The sequence below is a fragment of the Homo sapiens genome, chromosome 3, assembly GCF_000001405.40.
Source record: "Homo sapiens chromosome 3, GRCh38.p14 Primary Assembly".
NCBI lineage: Eukaryota > Metazoa > Chordata > Mammalia > Primates > Hominidae > Homo > Homo sapiens.
In genome coordinates this window covers 11,711,063-11,733,207 of record NC_000003.12, presented here as the reverse complement: position 1 = coordinate 11,733,207, position 22,145 = coordinate 11,711,063, and the positions used below count along the sequence as shown (strand labels likewise).

Below are 22,145 nucleotides of genomic sequence, written 5' to 3'. Positions count from 1 at the left end.
GGCCAATATGGTGAAACCCTGCCTATACCAAAAATACAAAAATTAGCCGGGCATGGTGGCAGGCGCCTGTAGTCCCAGCTACTCCGGAGGCTGTGGCAGGAGAAATGCCTGAACCCAGGAGGTGGAGGTTGCAGTGAGCCAAGATCGTACCACTGCACTCCAGCCTAGATGACAGAGCAAGACTCCATCTCAAAACAAACAAACAAACAAAAAAAAAACTCAAATCATATTACCCTAATCCCTAAACTCCCTCAAGTGGCTTCCCTTGGCATGTAGAATAAAGTCAGAGCTCCTTACCACAGCCAGACCACTTCCCAGGTTTTTCTTGAATTTGTCCCCCCAACCCCTATTTCCTATGGTCCAGCCACCCAGGCCTTCCTTCCATCCTTCCATCATGGTGACTGTGTTCCTGTCCCAGAGTCTTTGTGCTTGCTATTCTTTCTGCCTGGAAATCTTTTTCCCCTAGATTGTGGCACGGCTGTCTCCTTGTCATCATTCAGGCCTCAGCTCAAATGTCACCTCCTCAGAGAGGCCCTCCTTGATCACCCTACTGGAGTGATGCTATTCTGCTGTCACAACCCGTCACCCTGTATTTCATTGCTCTGTTTTATTTTCTTCATAGCACTTGCCATTATTTTAAACGGTCTTTTTTCACTATTTCGAATGATCTCTTTTATGTTAACTTACATGACTTAAATTATGTTTCCTGGCTAATGATCTCTCTCCCCACCTCTTCCCCAACACCTCCGTGTTAGAGGAGAAGCTCCATGAGAGTGAAACCTTGCTTGTCTTACTGACAGTTGTAACATCAACATCTAGAATGTAAATGGCAAACAGATGGTGCTCTAGACAGAAGGAAGGAAGGCAGGGAGGGAGAGAGAGAGGGAAAAAGGGAGGGAGGAAAGAAAGAAGAAAGGGAGGAAGGCAGGGAGGGAGGGAGGAAGGAAGGAAAAAGGGAAAGAAGAGAGCAAAAGGATGAACGAAGAAATAGAGGAAGGAAGAAAGGGAGACATGGAGGAAGGAAGAAGAATTGCCCTAATGGGCCAAGTGTGGTGGCTCACACCTGTAATCCCAGCACCTTGGGAGGTCAAGGCAGGAGGATCACCTGAGGTCAGGAGTTTGAGACCAGACTGGGCAACATGGCGAAACCACGCCTCCACTAAAAATACAAAAATTAGCCCGGCATGGTGATGCATGCTTGTAATACCAGCTACTTGGGAGGCTGAGGCATGAGAATTGCTTGAACCCAGGAGGCAGCGGTTGCAGTGAGCCGAGATTGTGCTTCAGCCTGAGCAACAGAGTGAGACTCCATCTCAAAAAAAAAAAAAAATGCCCTAATTAGATTGAGACCCCTCACAGTGCAACCCCAGGATTCACATAAAGTCCCTGGGGAGAGGAGGGGCAGGCAGGGGAGACACGTGGAAGCTGGACTGGGCATCACTGTGGCTTTTGTAGCAGCCTCAAAGATCTAGAAATGACATTATCCACTGCCATGGGGCATCAGCTTGCTAGTCTTTGGAAAGCCTCTCTCCCACCCTGGAAATAAAAACAAACACATCCTTGCTCTCCTTTTCCCCCGTCTGTACTAAAATCTCATTTATTTGGGACCCAAACCCATTTCCCTTACTGCTTTAAGGAGGAGAGGGTTTCTTTTTGGTCTAAAGTAGCAGGGCACTTCACTTTTTTGAGTCTTTTATTATTATTATTAATTTTTGTAGAGACAGGGTCTCCGTCACCCAGGCTGGAATGCAGGGGCACCATCACGGCTCACTGCAGCCTCAACCTCCTGGGCTCAAATGATCCTCCTGTCTCAGCCTCCCAAGTAGCTGGGACTACAGGGACATGCCACTATGCCCTGCAGAATTCGAGTTCTTAACGCTTCTATGTCCTGGAAAGAGGATGATGTCTCCTTATATATGTAATTTAGAAGGATATTAAACTATAAAATAGTCTAAACAAGATCTGATTTTACCCAAGATGACTAATCTGGTCATTTAGTTATATATATCAAATTATTTCAAAAATCATTTTGTACATTGCGGTGCCCTAAATACAGACATAGCCTGCTTGCTGGGTAATCCAGCAGCACTACATGCAGTAGGGGCTCACATGACTTTGACCTGGGACCCACTTTTACTGATTATGTGGCTGTTCTAACGCATACACACACTTTTCTAAGTAGGAGTCATCCCCATCATATAGGTGAGGAAATAGAGGCTTGAGCAGGTAGGACCCAGGTTTGAACTCAGGTCCGTCCAATACCAACGTATCAGCAACTTTCCTTTGCCAGGGGTTTCCCATCCTTTGGTAAACATGGTGCTCACATTCGAACCCCAGCAAATTCCAGCTCCATGTGGTGGTGCAGAGAAGATGGGAAACCAGGAGGAAACGTTTCCCTTCAGAATGGAAGCGGTTTTGTAAGAAGGTAGATACAATTTTTTTTCTTTTTGTTTTTCATTTTTCTTTTTCTTTTTGAGATGTAGTCTCACACTGTCGCCCAGGCTGGAGTGCAATGGCGTGATCTCAGCTCACTGCAACCTCCGCCTCCCAGGTTCAAGTGATTCTCTTGCCTCAGCCTCCCAAGTAGCTGGGATTACAGGCGCCCACCGCCACGCCCGGCTAATTTTTTGTATTTTTAGTACAGATGGGGTTTCACTATGCTGGCCAGGCTGGTCTTGAACTCCTGACCTCGTGATCCACCTGCCTTGGCCTCCCAAAATGTTGGGATTACAGGCGTGAGCCACCGCGCCCAGCCAATTTCTTTTTTCTTTTTCTTTTTTTTTTTTTTTTGAGATGAAGTATTGCTCTGTCGCCCAGGCTGGAGTGCAGTGGTGTGATCTTGGCTCACTGCATCCTGCCTCCCAGGTTCAAGCTATTCTCTGCCTCAGCCTCCAGAGCAGCTGGGAATACAGGTGTGTGCCACCACACCTGGCTAATTTTTGTATTTTTAGTAGAGATGGGGTTTTGCCATGTTGGTCAGGCTGGTCTTGAACTCCTGATCTCAGATGATCCACCCACATCGGCATCTCAAAGTGCTGGGATTACAAACTTGAGCCATCGTGCCCCAAAGTGCTGGGATTATAGGCTTGAGCCACTGCGCCCTGCCAAATGCAATTATTTATTTAGAGATTCTCCAAAGGTCTTTTCTGGGTGAATTTAGTGGTATTATTGAAAGATTGTTCAATGAGAAGTAGGACCAGCTGGTTTGCATCCTAGTGTTGCACTGCCCGTGCAAATGTCCTACCCTCTCTGAGCCCCTGTTTTCTCATCTGCATAATGGGACAATCTTCTTCATAGGATCACACTGCATTAAATGAGAATGTTCAACACTGCACACACTTGGCACCCAATAACCTTGTCCTTCCTTTCTCCTTCCTTCCCTCCTTCCCTCCCTCCTTCCTTCCTTCCTTCCTTGCAGTCAGTAGTTCGAGACCAGTTTGGGCAACATGGTGAAACTCTGTCTCTACTAAAAATACAAAAATTAGCCGGGTGTGGTGGCATGCACCTGTAATCCCAGCTACTTTGGAGGCTGAGGCAGGAGAATCGCTTGAACCAGGAGGTGGAGGTTGCAGTGAGCCGAGATGGCACCACTGGACTCCAGCCTGGGCAACGGAGTGAGACTCTGTCTCATAAAAAAAAAAAAAAAAAAAAAAAAAAAAAAAAAAAAATGAAAGAAAGAAAAGAAAGAAAGAAAGAAAGAAAGAAAAAGACAGGGTAACAGGGCAATCCCAGTTGGAAGAATTTCACTCTGGGGTGTTGTTGTATTCCACCTACAGAAGAAAACACACATTCATTCTCGGTAAGCTTCCTCATTCAAACCACTCTCTGTCTGACAGCAGCGGCCAAATTCTGACTGGCCTTGAATCCAGCATCTGCAACAATTTTTTAGTGTGTTGAAAAAGGCTTTTATTTCCCGTCCCAGCCCAGTGAAATTTATTTATAGGAAAGACAGCAAGAATATATTGCATGTTGAATTGTTCTTATAGTATTTAAAGGAAAATTCCTTGCATGAGGACAAAGTCAATCTTTAGAATAGTGTTAGATGCCACTCAGATGTCTGGGTCTGAGCAATCCTTCTGGCCATAAATTTGGTCTTGCTTAAGGGCACTTTCTCAGAACCATGCTGTGAAAAGAACTGACATTCACAGGAACACACATCACCGACTCCCTGGCAAGTTTTTGTATTTTTTTTTTTTTTTGAGACAGAGTCTTGCTCTTGTCTCCCAGGCTGGAGTGCAATGGCGCGATCTCGGCTCACTGCAACCTTCGCCTCCCGGGTTCAAGCGATTCTCCTGCCTCAGCCTCTCAAGTAGCTGGGATCACAGGCACCTGCCATCACACCTGGCTATTTTTGTATTTTTAGTGGCGACGGGGTTTCACTATGTTGGCCAGGCTGGTCTCGAACTCCCGACCTCAGGTGATCCGCCCGCCTCGGCCTCCCAAAGTGCTGGGATTTCAGGCGTGAGTTACCGTGCCTGGCCTCCCTGTCAGGTTTAAAAGGGTCCATCTCCAGACCTTGGAACATCGCCCTCAATCACAGCTCTTCGACTAATCGCCAGAGGGGCATGAAGCTCAGGTCACAGCTACTCACAATGGGCCCATCGTGGACCCCATCCAGTTGGGTCACAGTGGAGATGAGCTTCCTTCCAGGCTCTGAGGCAACTGCAAGAAAGAAAGGAAGAGGATTAATTTTTATTGAGTGCTTACTGTGTACCTAGCACTGTTAATGCTTTCATATATACTTGTACAGACATTTTGCAAATATTTGAACCTTGTGTAGCTTTATTATTTACTACTCTCTGAATCTGTGACCATATTTCTGAGCAGTAGAGGACTTGGCACCCAGATGTGGGTTTGAACTGAGTACCCACTAGAATGATAGCTCAACGAGGGCAAGATTTGTTCACTGCTGGAAATTCAGTGCGGAAAGCAGTGTCTTACACACAGCAGGTGGGGCCTCAATACATAGGTTGAATTACCAAGTGGGCTGCTTATTTAGCTTCTTCAAAGCTCTGTTTCCTCAACAACAAAAGCAGGAAAAATAAAACCTACATAAAATTTCACTTTCTTTTTTTTTGAAATAGTTGCAGATTCACATGTGATTATAAGAAATAGGCCAGGGGCTGGGCACGGTGGCTCACGCCTGTAATCCCAGCGCTTTGGGAGGTCAAGGTGGGCGGATCACCTGAGGTTGGGAGTTTGAGACCAGCCTGACCAACATGGAGAAATCTTGTCTCTACTAAAAACAGAAAAATTAGCCAGGTGTGGAGGTGCATGCCTGTAATCCCAGCTACTCAGGAGGCTGAGGCAGGAGAATCACTTGAACCCGGGAGGCGGAGGTTGCTGTGAGCCGAGATCGCGCCATTGCACTCCAGCCTGGGCAACAGAGCTAGACTCTGTCTCAAAAAAAAAAAAAAAATTAAATTAGAAAAAAAAAGAAATAGGCCAGGTACAGTGGCTTATGTCTGTAATCCAGCACTTTGGGAGGCCAAGGCGGGAGGATCACTTGAGTCCAGAAGTTTGAGACCAGCCTGGGCAACGTGGCAAAACTTTGTCTCTAGAAAAAAATACAAAAATTAGCCTACTGTGGTGGCACATGCTTGTAGTCTCAGCTCCTCAGGAGGCTGAGGTGTGAGGATCACTGAAGCCCTGGCGGTGGAGGCTGCAGTGAGCAGAGATTGCACCACTACACCACAGTCTGGGCAACAGAGCAAGACCCTGTCTGAAATAATAATAATAATAGTAACATCTGTAAGCAAGCAGTTGCTTCTCAGTGCACTGTGAATATGAGTCACTTGGGAAGCTTGCTGAAATGCAGATCCAATTCAGCAGGTCTGGGTGGGTCCTGCAAGCCTGCATTTCTAGCAGGCTCTCAGGGGATGCTGGATGCAATTAGTCTGCAGGCAATCCTGAGGAGTGAGGGGCATAAGCAGGTGGACTCCGGAATTGGACCACCAGGGTTTAATTCTAGTTGCATTCTTACTGTCTTTAAGACCTTGGACAAGTAATTTAATGTCTGCATGTTTCAGTTTCTTTGTGTGCATAAGGAGGATGCCTACAGTTCCTACCTTACAATAGAATTGTTATGAGGCCAAAATTCGGTACTTGTTGTAAAGCACTTAGAGTGGTGCCTGAAACATAGTGAGTGCTCCTCAAACATTAGTTATTATTATTATTTTAGATTATTTCTTATTCTTTCCTCTCTCCCTGAAATAAGATCATTTGGTTTTTCCACTGAGTTCTTTGGTTCCCAGAAAAGTAGAAATGCACCTGTTCTCACACTATGAGAAAAGAAAGAAGTTATTACTAGATGGGATTTTTAGCGCTCCTCCACCAAAAATGGCAAACATCTGGTTCACTCTTCACTCATTCTTTTCTTTTCTTTTTTCTTTTTTTTTTTTTTTTTTGAGACAGAGTCGCCCAGGCTGCCAGGCTGGAGTGCAGCAGCGCGATCTCAACTCACTGCAAACTCCACCTCCCAGGTTCAAGCAATTCTCCTGCCTCAGCCTCCCAAGTAGCTGGGATTACAGGCACATTCCACAATACCTGGCTAATTTTTGTACTTTTAGTAGAGACGGGGTTTCACCATGTTGGCCCAGGCTGGTCTCAAACTCCTGACCTCAAGTGATCCACCCACCTCAGCCTCCCAAAGTGCCGGGATTACAGGCATGAGCCACTGCACCCGGCCAGGTTCACTCATTTTTATTCCCTGCCCATAGCATACATTAATAATCAATCTCGACACTTTGTCACTAAGCCTCAACTGTGCTGCCAGAGCCCTTCTCAAAAGAGGGCTCCAGGCAGAGCAGGTGCTCAAAAGGAAACCTGTTTGCCTAACTTGATCTGGTCTCAGCTCCCCACAGAGGGGAAGACTTGGAATATGCAGAGGTATAGAATGACTCACTTTGTCACCTAGAGAGGAGTGTGAACTAGAACCCACATCTTCAGATTCCTCAGTGCTTTTTGTGGAACAAGTCGGAGTGAAGAGAAGAAAACAGGAGAGATTCATGAAAGTACATCATAAGCAAAGGGATATAGACTAGAAAAACACATTTTCCACAGCCAGGTTAGTGCAATGAGGGGAACAGTAGATGTCTATATGTACTACGAGCAATTCAGATTGGCAGCCGTTGATATTCCCCTTATTTGCCCCTTAGAAGTATGACATGGGAGGACAAACTGGAATACAAACTACTTATTGGCAATTGGCGTGGAAGGGAAAACTTTTTTTATAACACTCACCCATTGAACAGCCTTAAGAAATTGTTAACTGATGAACTGAACTCCTTAGCCCCTTCCACACGTGTCATTGGTTGTGGCCATCTTAAAGCCATTCCACCCCACGCCCACATGGACCATGTTTCTCATCACTGGACTGTGCTTGACTTCACTGACCCTCATGGCTGTGTGGCTTCCAGGGAGATCAGCCGGCAATCATTTCTATGGATTAGTGGAAAGGGAAGAGTCAGGCTGGGCATGGTGGCTTACGCCTGTAGTCCCAGCACTTTAAGAAGCTGAGGTGGGATGATTGCTTGAGCCCAGGAGTTCAAGACCAGCCTGTGCAACTCACTGAAACCCCATCGCTACTAAAAATACAAAAAGTTAGCCGGGCATGGTGGTATATGCCTGTAGTCCCAGCTACTCAGGAGGCTGAGGTGGGAGAATCACCTGAGCCTAGGAGGTTAAGGCTGCAGTGAGCTGAGATTGTACCACTTCACTCCAGCCTGGGTGACAGAATGAGAAGAAGAAGAAGGAGGAGGAGGAGGAGGAGGAGGAGGAGGAAAGAAGAAGAAGAAGAAGAAGAGGAAGAAGAAAAAGAAGGAGGAGGAAGAGGAGGAGGAGAAGAAGAAAAAAAAGGAGGAGGAGGAGAAGAAAAAAAGGAGGAGGAGGAGAAGAAAAAAAGGAGGAGGAGAAGAAGGAGAAGGAGGAGAAGAGGGAGGAAGAAAAGGAGAAGGAGGAGGGGGAGGAGAAGGAGAAGGAGGAGAGGGAGGAGAAGGAGGAGGAGAAGGAGGAGGGAGCAAAAGAGGGAAGAGAACAAGGAGGGAGGAGAAGAGGAAGGAGAAGAGGAGAGAGGAGAAGAGGAGGGGGAGGAGGGGCAGGAGGAGGAAGTGTAAGAGGAAGAGGAAGAAGAGGAAAAAGAGGAAGAGGAAGAAGAACAGGAAGAAGAAAGAGAAGAATCAGATTCTCTGAGCAATCTGAACTATGAAGATACGGAAGGAGTCAGTTACCTATGGGGGCAAAAGCTAAAAGGGGTAATAGAGATAGCAATAAGGGAGCCAAAGCTGTGAGGAAAGTCCTTGGCAGAGAGATGAGAAAGAACTAGATTGGGGAGGACGCACAAAGAAACAGAGCGAAAGGGAAACTGAGAAGCTGTGCAGTCGATGGGTGAGAGCACAACACAGCCACAACGCGTCCTTCCTACTCTGCACTTTTTTTTCATTTTCCTTTTTACAATGTTTTACTATGAAACAGGGCTGGGTGCGGTGGCTCATGCCTGTAATCCCAGCACATTGGGAGGCAGAAGTGGAGAATCACCCAGAGGTGACTGAGGATCACTTGAGGTCAGGAGTTCGAGACCAACTTGGTCAACATGGCGAAACCCCGTCTCTACTAAAAATACAAAACTTAGCTGGGCGTGGTGGCAGGCGCCTGCTACCTTAGCTACTCAGGAGGCTGAGGCAGGAGAATTGCTTGAACCCAGGAGGTGGAGGTTGCAGTGAGCTGAGATTATGCCACTGCACTCCAGCCTGGGTGAGAGAGCGAGACTCTGTCTCAAAATAAAAATAAAAATAAAAATAAAAAATAGGCCAGGTGCGGTGGCTCATGCCTGTAATCCCAGCACTTTGGGAGCCCGAGGCAGGTTGATCACCTGAGGTCAGGAGTTTGAGACTAGCCTGGGTAACATGGTAAAACCCCATCTCTACTAAAAATACAAAATTAGCCAGGCATGGTGGCACATGCCTGTGATCCCAGCTACTCAGGAGGCTGAGGCAGGAGAATCGCTTGAACCTGGGAGGTGGAGGTTGCAGTGAGCCGAGATCATGCCACTGCACTCCAGCCTGGGCAAGAGTGAGACTCCATCTCAAAAATAAAAAATAAATAAATAAATAAATAAAAATATAAAAATAAAATAAAATAAAATAAAATCTTTTGCTATGAAACAATCCAAACATGTAAGAGCAGATAGAGTAGTGTCACCCCCCCCCATCCCCCACTGAGGGGCTACCTCAACACCCTCCTCTGTACCCATCCTCAGCTTCAACAACGATCAACTCTGGGCCAATCTTGTGTCTTTGCTACCTCCACTCAGTCACCCCCTTGATTATTTTGTTTTTAAAATACACTTCTGGCGCATTTATAAAATCCTTGGGTTGAAATATATTCTCATCAGTGGTCTATGTACAGCCTACCTTTATTTGTTAGCTACTTAAGCAGTATTGTTTTCTTTTTGATTTGCCCAGTTATGTTCCTTATACATTTTTTAAACTTGTGGTAAAATATACATAATACAAAATGTACCACTTTAACCATTTTGAAGTGTTTAGTTCAGTATGGCATTAAGTACATTCACACTACTGTAAAACCATCACTTAAGTTTTTTTTTTGTTTTTGTTTTTTTTTTTTTTTGAGACAGGGTCTCACTCTGTCACCCAGGCTGGAATGTAGTGGTATCAACACAGATCACTGTAGCCTCAACTTCCTGGACTCAGGTGATCCTACCATGTCAGCCTCCCAAGTAGCTGGGACTTACAGGCATGTGCCACCACGCCCAGCTAATTTTTGGATTTTTTGTAGAGATGGGGTTTCGCGGTGTTGCCCAGGCTGGTCTCAAACTCCTGAGCTAAAGCAATGCACCCGCCTTGGCCTACCAAAGTGCTGGGAATACAGGCATAAGCCACTGCGCCTGGCCTAGGTAGTTATTTTAATAGAGAACCTGTGAACCTACCAAGCTAGGACCTAGACAACAATGTTTAACCAAATGGTTTTCTCCCATCCAATCCCATGCCTGCCCCCACCCCCACCCAGGTAATCCTGGCATCATCATCCCCTCAATTTTTATTTTATTTTGTTTTTATTTTATTTTATTTTTGAGACTCAGCTCTGTCGCCTAGGCTGGAGTACAGTGGTGTCATCTCAACTCACTGCAACCTCTGCCTCCCGGGTTCAAGTGATTCTCCTGCTTCAGCCTCCTGAGTAGCTGGGACTACAGGTGTGAGCCACCATCCCCAGCTAATTTTTTGTTTTGAGACGGAGTCTCACTCTGTCACCCAGACTGGACTGCAATGGCATGATCTCGGCTCACTGCAGCCTCCCGGGTTCAAACAATTCTCCTGACTCAGCCTGCTGAGTAGCTGGGATTATAGCAGCGTGCCACCACATCTGGCTAATTTTTGTATTTTTAGTAGAGACGGGGTTTCACCATGTTGGCCAGCCTGGACTTGAACTCCTGACCTCGTGATTCGCCCACCTTGGCCTCCCAAAGTGCTGGGATTACAGGTGTGAGCCACCACGCCTGACCATTTTTTTTTTGTATTTTTACTAGAGATGGGCTTTGCCATGTTGGCCAGGCTGGCCCTGACTTATTTTTTATATCATTTTATTGCAGATATATGTACCACTAAAATTATTTTTAATTTTATTTTTAACATTACAAATAGAGTATTATGCTGTATGTAATCTTTTGGGACTTAATTTTTTCAGTTAACATTGTCAAGATGCATCTGTATTGTTGAGGTCACTGTAAGTCATTTTAATTTAGGTTACTGTATAATATTCTATGTGTCTGCCACGTTCCACTTCCAGTCCCCCTAGACCTTTACAACAACCCCCCTTTTTCTTACAGTAACTTGAGTGTGTCTCTCCTTTGCACAACTAAAAGAGCCAGACTAAAACGACCAGGCTTAGATGTTGCCAGAGCTAAGTCACGCTAATGCTGATGTAAGGCAAAGAGTGAGATTAATCCTTGCAAAGGTCGAAGACTGGTCACATCCATGAGAAAAGGTCTTCTGTCCCCATGATTTATTTGCAGAGTAAGGTTCGCTCCAAGCAGTGATGGAAATTAAAGAGGCAGCTTTAGGACCTCCGCACTGACCCAAAATGGAAATCATTTAGCAGCAAACAAATGGCAATGTTGTCATAAAGATCAAATGAGATAATAATACGTGGGAACACTTTGTAAACCTTGGGCCATTTTTATAAATATGCAGTTGCACTATTATTGTTATCATTATTCATTTGCGTTGTCTGGGCATTTCATTTTCCTCTGTTCATAAGGTGCCCACCTGGACTGGATTTAAGTCAGAAGAGAAGGAAGATGTGAGTATTCATTAAACGTCTCTGCGAAGCCTGTAACCCCACACCGGCTCTTCGAAGAAGCATTATCTCTGTTTTACGGATGAGAAAACTGAGGTTTGATAACTTGCCCCAAATCCTATAACAAATAGAGGCGGAGTTTGGATTCAAATTCTGTCTGAATCTAAAACCCTTTTTCTGTCTTACCATATTTCCTGGAATCTGCCCAGGCAGTCCTCATTCCTTCCTCATTCCCTGTCTGAGTTTGGCAGGATGAATCTCCTATTTACAGTCTTTCTCAGGATTTCTCTTTTCCTAGTCCGAGACTACTGATGGACTAAAACGGAGTCTATGTAAGAGTACCTTTGGGAAGACTGGGAACCTTCCGAGCTTTAATCTGTGAATATTTATCCAGGAATCAGGAAAGCCAGGGGACCTATTCCTAGGTTGACTTGTAAGTTGGGTTGTCCCATCTCCAGAGGCCCTGTATGGACTGGAGGAGAGTACATTTCACAAGGGGCCCCAAGTTTCGGGCAACACCTCCACCTGCTTTAGGTAAACCATTTAATCTCACTGAAACATGGAACTACGCATACCTGTCTTTGCATATCCAACAGGGGCTAAGATCCAGTGAGACACCGTGCTGTTCCTTGATATGATCAGATGAGGCAACAGATGGGAAAACAGTTTGAAAACTGCAAAGCATTTTTTTTTTCCAGCACGAATGTAAGCTGGTATTTGTTTTCATTGTTATCATTCCCTTTCAGCAGAGCCCTCTCCCAGGGAAAGCCCTTACGGTAGGGGCTCCTAATAATGACTGAGGTTTGAGAACAGCCAGAAGGCAAGCAACATGAAGCCTTTTAAAGCAAACCAGAGGAAGTCCAGTCTCTATTTATTTTATGAAGTTAGCCGCTGGATATGTTAAGCAAATGTTTTCTTAATTGTGGCAGTACAAGAAAACAACAGGGCAAGGGTTGCTGGGGATGGCGGGGGGCGGGTATCAGGCCTCTATCCCCCGGCCCCCCACCACCAAATCCCCAGAGAAAGACAGGAAAAAATTAAAGACAGGCCTTTTCTTTTCGTGGTCACATGTCTGCCCTGCTGCTGTAATATAAGAACCTGCGCCAATTAGAAACGTTTTACCTCCTCCTCCCTGCCCCTCCCCGGGCACATTTCAGAGCAGTCCGGGTTGTGGACGCCAGGAGTTTGCCAAACACAGCAAACACTGGTGTGTGAGCGGCTGAAGGGGACTCTTTCCACTCCGATCTCCCTCCCTCCCAGCCTGTTTTGATTTACTAGGACTTCCTCCTCCGGGCGAGGCGGGGGAAGGACGCCGCCGAGCGCCTGGAGTTGTGCGCGTGTGCGTGTGCGCGTGTGCGAGTGTGAAGTGCAGCGCTGGAGTGCAACATGCTGTAATGGGAGGAAACCCAGCGGCGTCGGAGCGCCCGGGACCGCCGCGGCCGTTCTGAGCGCAGTGGCGCCGAGCAGCCCCTCCCGCAGCCGGTGTGACCTGTCCCTTCAGGTGCGTGGCCGTCGGCCGTCGGGGAGCGCGGCTCGGGCATGCGGGTGCCGAGAGGGGGCGACGGGGCCCGGGAGGCGGGGGACGGAAGGTGCGCCGCGTTCCGGGGGTGAGCGGGTGTGGACGGCGAACCGGCGCGGGCGGGTGGTGCGCCCTTATCCGGCTGCTCGCGAGCCGGGGGAAGCGGAGGGCGGCGTGGGTGCCGCAGGTTCGGCTGAACTCCGGGCGCTTGGCGGGGTGTGTGTGGCGGGAAGGGCAGCAGGTCCGCGGGACGGGTCTGGTTGGACTGTGAACGTCGGCGTCCCGTGCGCTGTCCCCCGGGAGCAGGGACCTACTGTGCGCGCGTGGGGAGCGCGGCGGGCACCTGGGCGCGCACGAAATGTGCGTTTGTGTTTGTACATTTGCACGGCGCTGTGTCCCCTGGCGGGGCCTCGGGGGCGGGGGCGTGCGAGATGCCGTGTCCACAGCAGTGTGCGCCATGTCCACTCGCCCTGCCCGCTGGCGCCTCTCGGGAGCGCCCGCCCCGACAAACCTCACTGCCCCAGCGCGCCGGCATCGGCCCGGGAGGTGCGAGCTGGCACCGGGCGCGCAGCTGGCGGGGGAGGGAAAGCGGCCTCTCCCTGCCGCGGGAGGCCTCGCCCCTATCTCCCTCCCGGCTCACCTGGCTCAGCCCCCACCTGCTCCGTGAGGGGCGTGACCGAGGGCGTGGCCTGGCTGGCCTGGCGGAGCCCGGCTCAGGTTGGCCGGTGCCTCATTCCAGGGATTCCTCGCGCTCCCGCGCTCCCGTCCGCCGGCCCGGTCCGCGCGTGCGTGTGCGTGTGCGTGTTTGGCGGGGGCCCGTGCGGGGGCTCGGGCGCGAGCCCGCCTGTGCGTCTGCGCGCCCTCGGGGTGCGCCCCGCGTGCCCAGGTCCCGTCCCCGCCCCTGGGTCCCCCGCAGGGCCAGGCCGGCCCCAGGCGGGCGCGCCCAGAGCCGCCGGGCGGTGAGTGCGGTTGACCCGGTCGGCGGGGCGGGACCCGGGCTGGGCGAGGGCTGGCCTGAGAGGGGCCTTGGGGTGGGCTGTCGGAGCAGAACCGGGATGCCCTGCGGGAGGGAGGAGGTGGCGGGTCCTTGCCGGGCCGCTCGGGAGGCGCCGGTGGGAGCGGAAGCGCCTAGGCTCCCGGAGGACGTCCTGGGAGTCGGAGGCTCGGGGCGGGCGAGGAGGCCCGCGCCTGGCACCCCGCGGTCCCCGCCGGCCTCAGGGAGGGCTGTGATGTGGACTGCGGGAAGGGGCACCGTACTCTTCCTGTGCTTCCTGCCCGGTCCCCAAAACAGGACTGCACACTCTCCCTGCACCCAGTGCAGGCCTCGCGGAAGAGCACAGGGCTGTTCGCTTTTTGTTTTGCTTGAAGTCTCCTTTGATTCATCACCCTGAGACATTTAACTGTCTTAGGTTATGAAGACAGTGCTTGCTGGGGCTATTCGTATTTATGTACGTTGCTGGCATGTGTTCGTCTGTTTAAGTTAGATGATTAAAAAATCGGTTTCACTTTGATCGTCGGTGCTGTATGTTTGCTAGTTGTAGTCCCTTCTCTGTGATTAATAAGAACCAGCAGCCTGGCGCGGGAGGGTAGGGGTGTGGGGAAGTGGAGGCGGTTCTGCTGGGTTTTATCAACAGCTGGTTGCCCTCTCTTTGAAAGGCACTGTCTCCCAGTTTGTGGAGTTTTAATATCTTGTTCTATACCCAAGCCTACCTCTACTCAGAAGGAGTCTGGCAGTTGTTTCCTCTAAATAGTCAAAGACAAAAAAAAAATTAATTTGCCTATTAGGATTTGAAGGTCAGTTTTGCATACCATGTTAGCATACCAAACTTTAACTCTTTCTCTACTCGCTGAGTCCACGGACTTGTACTGTTCATTGTTTCCTGCTTGCATCTAATGAAGAGTCTGCGCATGACTGGGAGGGAGTAGAGTGGGCAGTTTAAGGAGACCTTTGGGGTCGGAGCAGTAAAGCTGTCCCTGTGGTGTGATCTTGGGACAAGTTATTTATTATCTCTAAGTCCCAATGCTCTCAATTTAAATAAAGGATTTAGAAATACTTGATTCAGAAGTTTCTTGTCTTACACTCAAGACAGTTTTGAATTTTTTCTTGTATTTCCTGTTACATCTGGCCTGAAAAGTCATCTCCCCCACGGTGGAAATGATGTAAACCCTTCAATTCGTTGTTTAACTTTGGCAAAATTTTAATCCCAGGCTAATTTCCCCGGCCACCGTTTTTTCACACTTCTGGGCAGCCTGCCTTTGCTTTCCATTTGGAAGTGAATGCAAACTAATTTTTATGTTGACCAAAACACAATACAATTAAGAAGATAATTCTGCTATAAATAACTATGGACTACATTCCAAAACTGTGAATGTTGTAGTAAAAACAGCTCTGGGTTATTATTTCTGGAGACTTGAGTTCTAGTCCTATCAGTGTCACTGACTAGATTTATGACCAGAAATGTTACTCGTACTCAAACTTTGTATCTTATTTTCCTTTGTAAAAGGGTGGTAATATTAGTTCCAATACATCACAGAGTTTCAGGAATTACAGAGAATAATGTGCTTTGAAAGTATTTTGTGTTATTTATAAATTCTTTGAAGCTTTGAAAGAGCTACATAAACACAGTTGTTACTGCTATCCCCCAACTGATTTAAAATTATGACTTTATCTGAAGATTTTAACACTTCTTACAGACATGATAATTATGTAAAAACTTTCACTTTTAAATGTTCTGGGCCGGGCGCGGTGTTTCACCTATGTAATCCCAGAACTTTGGGAGGCTGAGATAAGAGGATCGCTTGAGGCCAGGAGTTCCAGACCAGCCTGGACAACAGAGAGACTCCCGGCTCCCAACTGTACCAAAAAAAAAAAAAAAAAAAAAAAATCTGTAGTGGGAAATTCCTCTTAACTCCTTATGGAGGCAGCCCTGTTACCAGTCTCTGGTGGTTGCCAAAACAAATCCAAAGGGAGAGTTTATTTCGTGTCTCTTCTAGGTATCTGTCTTGGAGAGTTTTGCTGTGCAGCTTTTAATTTGCCTTAGTAAAATAATGAGTAGGTTAACAATAAAAGTTGTTTTGTAACTTTGAACATGACCTAACAAAAGTACTAAAAGTTGTAAGCTCAGGAAGGAAAAATAAAATACACGGGAAAATTTTAACGTCACTGAAATTGTGAAACTCCGTCTCAAAAAAAAAAAAAGCACAAAAATATATAAAAACATGTTACTAAATAGACTGCAAAAAGCACAGTTGTTTACAGCATGAGAGCTCAAACAAGAAGGCAGGGTATTGCCTTCTTGTTTTGGTGTGGTGATTTTAACATACCAATGTGTCTGCTTATTGCTTGTGTGAGATGAGCTGTTGCAGCTATGAGAACCTGGTGAAAGAGAAAGTTTTTTGTGTGTGTGAGTTAAGAAATTTCTTCGAGGTATGTTAACTGAGGCTCATTTGTGCTTCTTTCAGGGAACTCACCTAAAGTTAATGAAGCTATGGGTGGGTGTTTAATAGAAGAGTAAAGTGAATGCTGCTAATCTGTAGCATTTAGGATCTGTCCACATAAACCACCCCCCCGCAAAAAAAAACCCAGTATCATAAGAACTAGATTGCAAAATCTTGATGCAAGATTTGGCAGATACAAACTGCCAAGGTAGGAAAAGGAATGTAGGAGGTGCTAAAACCAGAACAATTATACCTTCTTGAAATACAGAATAATAGCACTTTTGCAAAGAGAGAAAACTTTGTAGAATGTACTTTCTGTGTCTCATGCCTCAGGTCTAATAGCCAGATATAGTCGATCCTCATTTTTCGTGGTTCCATGTTTATAAATTTGTCTACTCACTAAAATTTATTTGTAAGCCCCAAATCAATGCCTCTGACACTTTCTTCGACATTTGTGGACATGTGCAGTATGGGGAAAAATTTGAGCCTCCCAATGCACATGTTCCCAGTAGAGCTCAGACAAGGCACTACCCTGCCTTCTTGTTTGAGCTCTCATGCTGTAAACAAGTGTGCTTTTTGCAGTCTATTTAGTAACATGTTTTTATATATTTTTGTGCTTTTTTTTTTTTTTTTTTGAGACAGAGTTTCACTCTTGTTGCCCAGGCTGGAGTGCAGTGGCGCGATCTCAGCTCACTGCAACTTCCACCTTCCGGTTTCAAGTGATTCTCCTGCCTCAGCCTCCCGAGTAGCTGGGATTACAGGCACCCACCACCACACCTGGCTAATTTTTGTATTTTTAGTAGATACGGGGCTTCACCATGTTGGCCAAGCTGGTCTTGAACTCCTGACCTCGTGATCTGCCTGCCTCGGCCTCCCAAAGTGCTGGGATTACAGGTGTGAGCCACTGCACCCTGCCCATTTTTGTGCTTTTTATTGGGGATTTTGCTATTTACAGTGGCCCGTAAGTATGGTGCTAAAATGCTGTCTAATGTTCCTCAGCCAAGAAGGCTGTGATGAGCCTCATGGAGAAAATATACATGTTAGATGAGCTTCATTCAGGCTTGAGTTACGGTGCTGTTGGCCTTGAGTTCAACATTAATGAATCAACAATAGGTATTAAATAAGGTGTCTTTAAACAGAAACATACGTAAAACAAGGTTGTGTATTGATCAGTTTGCAAAAATGTGACCAGAAGCCGGAAGGAATCTCACTCTCATTTCCCCTAGGAACACTGGTTCAATATCCACTAATTCAATGTTCACAGAGATTTTACAGAACACAACTACTATGAATAACAAGAACTGGGCCGGGCCCGGTGGCTCACACCTATAATCCCAGCACTTTGGGAGGCCGAGGCAGGTGGATCACCTGAGGTCAGGAGTTTGAGACCAGCCTGGCCAACATGGTGAAACCCCGTCTCTACTAAAAATACAAAAATTAGCTGGGCATGGTGGTGGGCACCTGTGATCCCAACTACTAGGGAGGCTGAATCAGGAGAATTGCTTGAACCCGGAAAGTGGAGGTTGCAGTGAGCTGAGATCGCACCATTGCACTCCAGCCTAGGCGACAGATCAAGGCTCCATCTCAAAAAATAAAAAAAAGAACCAATAATATTTACTGATGGTAATAACTACAGTGCTACCTAATGTTGCACTGTGTCATTAATTAGATGACTTTATGTGGCTTTAATAGGCTGAGGGCTGAGATTTTATTTTGGAACAATGGAGAGTTAGACCTGGGCTGTTCTGGGAAGCTTGCTAACTTGGGCTGTGATGCAAATTCATCTTTTTTTTTTTTTTTTTTGAGACGGAGTCTCGCTCTGTCACCCAGGCTGGAGTGCAGCGGCGCGATCTCGGCTCACTGCAAGCTCCGCCTCCCGAGTTCACGCCATTCTCCTGCCTCAGCCTCTCGAGTAGCTGGGACTACAGGCGCCCGCCACCGTGCCTGGCTAATTTTTTGTATTTTTAATAGAGACGGGGTTTCACTGTGTTAGCCAGGATGGTCTCGATCTCCTGACCTCGTGATCCGCCCGCCTCAGCCTCCCAAACTGCTGGGGTTACAGGCGTGAGCCACTGCGCCCAGCCCAAATTCATCTTTTATTCTTGGGAGTAATAGGTCCCTAAGAATATGTGTCGCTTTAGCACTTGTGAATAGGAAATACTAACTATTCACATAAGTATTCAAATTTTAAGTCTTCAAATAAATGCAAGAGCAAGCATATCCAGAGGAAACTAAAAATGCCAAAGAGTTTCTGTTATTTCATATGCCTTGCTGTATAAGGCTGCGGTCTTGAAAATGAAGAGAGAGAGATTCATAATATCCTAAAATGAGAAAGAAAAACATGGTTCATTTTTTTCTTTTTTTTTTTGTATTTTTATTTATTTATTTTATTTTATTTTTTGTATTTTTAGTAGAAATGGGATTTCACCATGTAGGCCAGTCTGGACTCGAACCTCTGGCCTCAAGCGATCCACCTGCCTTGGCCTCCCAAAGTGCTGGGATTACAGGTGTGAGCCACCGTGCCTGGCCTCATTTTTATTTGTGCTGACAACAGTGTTGAAAAATGTTGGGAATTGGTAGTCTGCTCAGAAAGTTCAGACTTGATTTTTATTTGTCCCCCTTAGATAACAGTAGTTTCAGTGTGGGCCCACCATATAGTCACTTTCCATGGGACACTTTAGGGAGATGGGTGGACTTCAGCCAGCAGTAAGAATTTTGCACCAGCATCAGGCAGCATTGCATAGGGCCGTGAAATGTGTTGTAATGTAAGTTGGGTTTTGCAGCCCAGAGCCTGTATAGATGTACCTCACCGGGTACATGATCAACTTTCATACAGTCTGTGCATTTGTATAGTTTACACTGATACCAAACTGTATTACAATAACCGAGGATTTTTGTCACTGTGTGGTGGCACTATCTGCTAGCTCCTGTTGCCAGGGTAGTTGTGATGACTAAGTATCGTACCCCTGCCCTCCTGCAGGGCTGAGAAGTCCTATAGACTCAAGCCCTGAGCCACGTTAGCATCAGGAAACCTTGAGTGGTTGAGCAGAGCATTCATTCAGTGTTTCCATCCAGAGTGTTAGCCCTTTATTTGGTCTGAGTTAATGGGGGTCTCACTTTCTGTTGAGGTCATGGGAGGTGGAGGCACCTAAGGTTACCTGTTCCTGCTATACAGCCTCCAGCCTACATTGGAGGGTAAGAGATTGACAGCTGCCCAGCCTGTAGACCTCCCTCCTGCAGAGGTTTCACAGGAGGGGTGCTAAGCCTTATGGAAAGGGTGTGATCTGGGGCTCACACTTGAGGTTGGCAGGTACCTGAAAAAATCCTAATTAGGGATTTTATGCAGATATATATATATATATATATATAAATAATATATATACACACAGTTCTCAGGAGGTAGATATAGAACATGAAGATATATTGTTCAAATATTAGAACGTTTGGCCTTCTAATGAATTTTCAGGAGTGATCATGTGTAGAAGTAAGGAATTTGACGCAAGCAGAAGCAGCCAAGTTCTTCTGGCATTGATGCTTCAAATTACGGCAGCGTGAGTCAGTTATACCTGCTTGGGACATGCCTCTGTGAGGAAAGCTGGAATAGCAAATGATCCGTCTGGTCATGCTCTTTCTTTGATAATATGACTATTGAGAGAATATTTTGAATAAGGGCTGGCTTCTATTTAGAAAGGTAACATACAATTTAAGGTTGTGAGCAGTTCGAGCACCAAGGTGAAATTTTAAAAATGTTCTCACTGAACCTTAACAGTTAGCCGTTGGAGCTTGACCACAGGTCTTCCTGAGCATGGTGAAGTTGACACCATCCTTCCTACTACTGTACCTGTTCGTGGATCTCAAAGTCCTCAGGGTTTTAGCTTGACTCCTCTGTGGCTGTGGCCCCAGAAATCGCTATGTCTTGGTAGTTTGTTGCCGGTGTCATTGTTGGCCACAGTCTCAGCATCAATTGACCTGGTGTGACAGTCTTCTTTTCTTACCTGCCTTGGTTACTATTAATGTGACTCCATGCCTACCTCTGTTAGAAGAATTTCAAATATACCATGGTTTGCGTGTTCCTGACGGGTAAGGGCTTGCTTCCCCTTGCTCGCTGTTGAAACGGTCACATTATTGCCTGATAGGTATCTCAAGGTGTAGAGGAAAGAGCACAGGGCTAGAAGTCGTGCTTGCTAATGGAAGGTTTGCTTTGACCTAGGCTAAATAATTGTGCTTGTCACTAAAACCTCTTTAGCATGATCAACTTAAGAGTAGTAAAAATAGCATTGGAGGGAGAATTGAGAGACTTGAATTCTAGTCTTAGTTGCTTCAGGAAGTCACTTCCATTCTTGGTGCCTCAATTTTTCTTTTTTTTTAATCTGTAGAAGAAAAATAATAATCATATTTGGCCATTTGGCCTAAGTAATAATTTGATTGTGAGAATCCAATCAGGTCATTTATGTGAATGTATTTTGAAAACATGTATGCTATACACCTGGAAGATGGTGGTGGTAGACTAATAAAATCTGTTTCTCTCTTTAGTTTGTAAGACATTCTCAGTTACATCGTTTAATCTATGTGATAAGCTTGTGATCATAGGAAGTTAGTTAGGCAATGTTTTTTACTTTTTTCTTTAAGGAGGAAACTAGGGCCTGGAGAGGGTAAATGACTGGCCCATACAATTAAGTGTTAGACATCTAGGGCAAAGCCTAGAGCAAAATAGGCTTTCAGGGATTGTTGACTGAATGAGTGAAAGATTTAAAGTAGGGCTCAAACTTGGGCTTCCTGATGCTAAAGTCCTGGCTCTGTTGACTTAACAGATGGTAAAGTGCGAGAAGAAAAAAGGATTACTCAAATGAGAGATATTTTTAGCAAGAAGAGCAGAGAGGGGTGGTTTGAGAATGGGATGTTAACAGGAAGAATATGTGCTGCACGAAGTTGGTGGGGCATCACCGGACACTCTGGGGAGGAGAAAGAGCTGGAGGATTTAAAACCGTGAAACTGTGCTTGCATGTCGCCACCAGAATCTGGTGACATTTGGTCTGATTCTCATTCAGTTTTCCTTCTCACTGAGCCTGACAGCCAGTGTATCACCCAGTATCATCCATATTTGGTGTACGGTGCTCAAGGGCAGGGAGTTTACTTTTCCTTTTTTGTAACGTCTAAATACAGTGTTTTAATAGAGGAGATACCCAGTAAATACCTCTAAATTCTTTTTTATTTTTTTTTTGAGACAGGGTCTCCCTCTGTCACCCAGGCTGGAGTACAGTGGCGTGATCTCAGCTCATTGCAGCTTCAGCTTCCTGGGCTCAAGCCATCCTTCTGCCTCAGCCTCCCAAGTAGCTGGGACTACAGGCATACGCCACCATACCTGGCTAATTTTTTTTTTTTTTGAGATGGAGCCCAGGCTAGGGTGCAGTGGCGCAACCTCGGCTCACTGCAAGCTCTGCCTCCCGGGTTCACGCCATTCTTCTGCCTCCTCAGCCTCCCGAGTAGCTGGGACCACAGGTGCCTGCCACCATGCCTGGCTAATTTTTTGTACTTTTAGTCGAGATGGGGTTTCACCATGTTAGCCGGGATGGGGTTTCACCATGTTAGCCGGGATGGTCTCGATCTCCTTACCTTGTGATCTGCCCGCCTCAGCCTCCCAAAGTGCTGGGATTACAGGGGTGAACCACCACGACTGGCCAATTTTTGTATTTTTTGTTGAGATGAGGTTTTGCCATGTTGCCCAGGCTGGTCTCAAACTCCTGGGCCCAGGTAATCTGCCCACCTCGGCCTCCCAAAGTGCTGGAATTACAGGCATGAGCCATTGTGCCCAGCCACCTCTAAATTCTTTTTTTTTTTTGAGATGGAGTCTCACTCTGTTGCTCAGGCTGAGTGC

The 22,145-nt window shown here is 46.7% G+C and overlaps 2 protein-coding genes across 7 annotated transcripts in view, besides 3 other annotated features; both read left to right on the top strand.

Annotated features, from left to right (window-relative positions):
• Positions 1-11,312, top strand: part of TAMM41 (TAM41 mitochondrial translocator assembly and maintenance homolog) — a 124,990-nt gene extending 113,678 nt beyond the window's left edge. The window contains exon 8 of the mRNA XM_017005725.3: positions 11,275-11,312. Coding sequence (XP_016861214.1) covers positions 11,275-11,297 — 23 coding nt within the window. The 3' untranslated portion in view covers positions 11,298-11,312. The remainder of the gene's footprint in view (positions 1-11,274) is intronic.
• Positions 8,410-8,459: an enhancer, noted in NCBI's record as "active region_19434". NCBI's record gives its function as "activates an Ori minimal core promoter by ATAC-STARR-seq in GM12878 lymphoblastoid cells {active_cell/tissue: GM12878}" and the evidence as "EXISTENCE:reporter gene assay evidence [ECO:0000049][PMID:35858748]".
• An 80-nt stretch (positions 11,313-11,392) lies between the features above and the next one.
• The window catches only part of VGLL4 (vestigial like family member 4), a 165,749-nt gene continuing 154,996 nt past the window's right edge, over positions 11,393-22,145 (top strand). For 2 of the 6 annotated variants that reach the window (XM_047449259.1, XM_047449262.1), the window contains exon 1: positions 11,393-11,409. In XM_047449259.1, the coding sequence (XP_047305215.1) occupies positions 11,396-11,409 (14 nt within the window). In that variant the 5' untranslated portion in view covers positions 11,393-11,395. Of the gene's footprint in view, positions 11,410-12,668; positions 12,815-13,678; positions 13,792-22,145 lie in introns of those variants that run through there. The other 4 variants (NM_014667.4, NM_001284390.2, XM_024453835.2 and 1 more) reach the window with 2 other exon arrangements.
• Positions 12,621-12,990: a silencer, noted in NCBI's record as "silent region_14063". NCBI's record gives its function as "represses an Ori minimal core promoter by ATAC-STARR-seq in GM12878 lymphoblastoid cells {active_cell/tissue: GM12878}" and the evidence as "EXISTENCE:reporter gene assay evidence [ECO:0000049][PMID:35858748]".
• Positions 13,231-14,150: a silencer, noted in NCBI's record as "silent region_14062". NCBI's record gives its function as "represses an Ori minimal core promoter by ATAC-STARR-seq in GM12878 lymphoblastoid cells {active_cell/tissue: GM12878}" and the evidence as "EXISTENCE:reporter gene assay evidence [ECO:0000049][PMID:35858748]".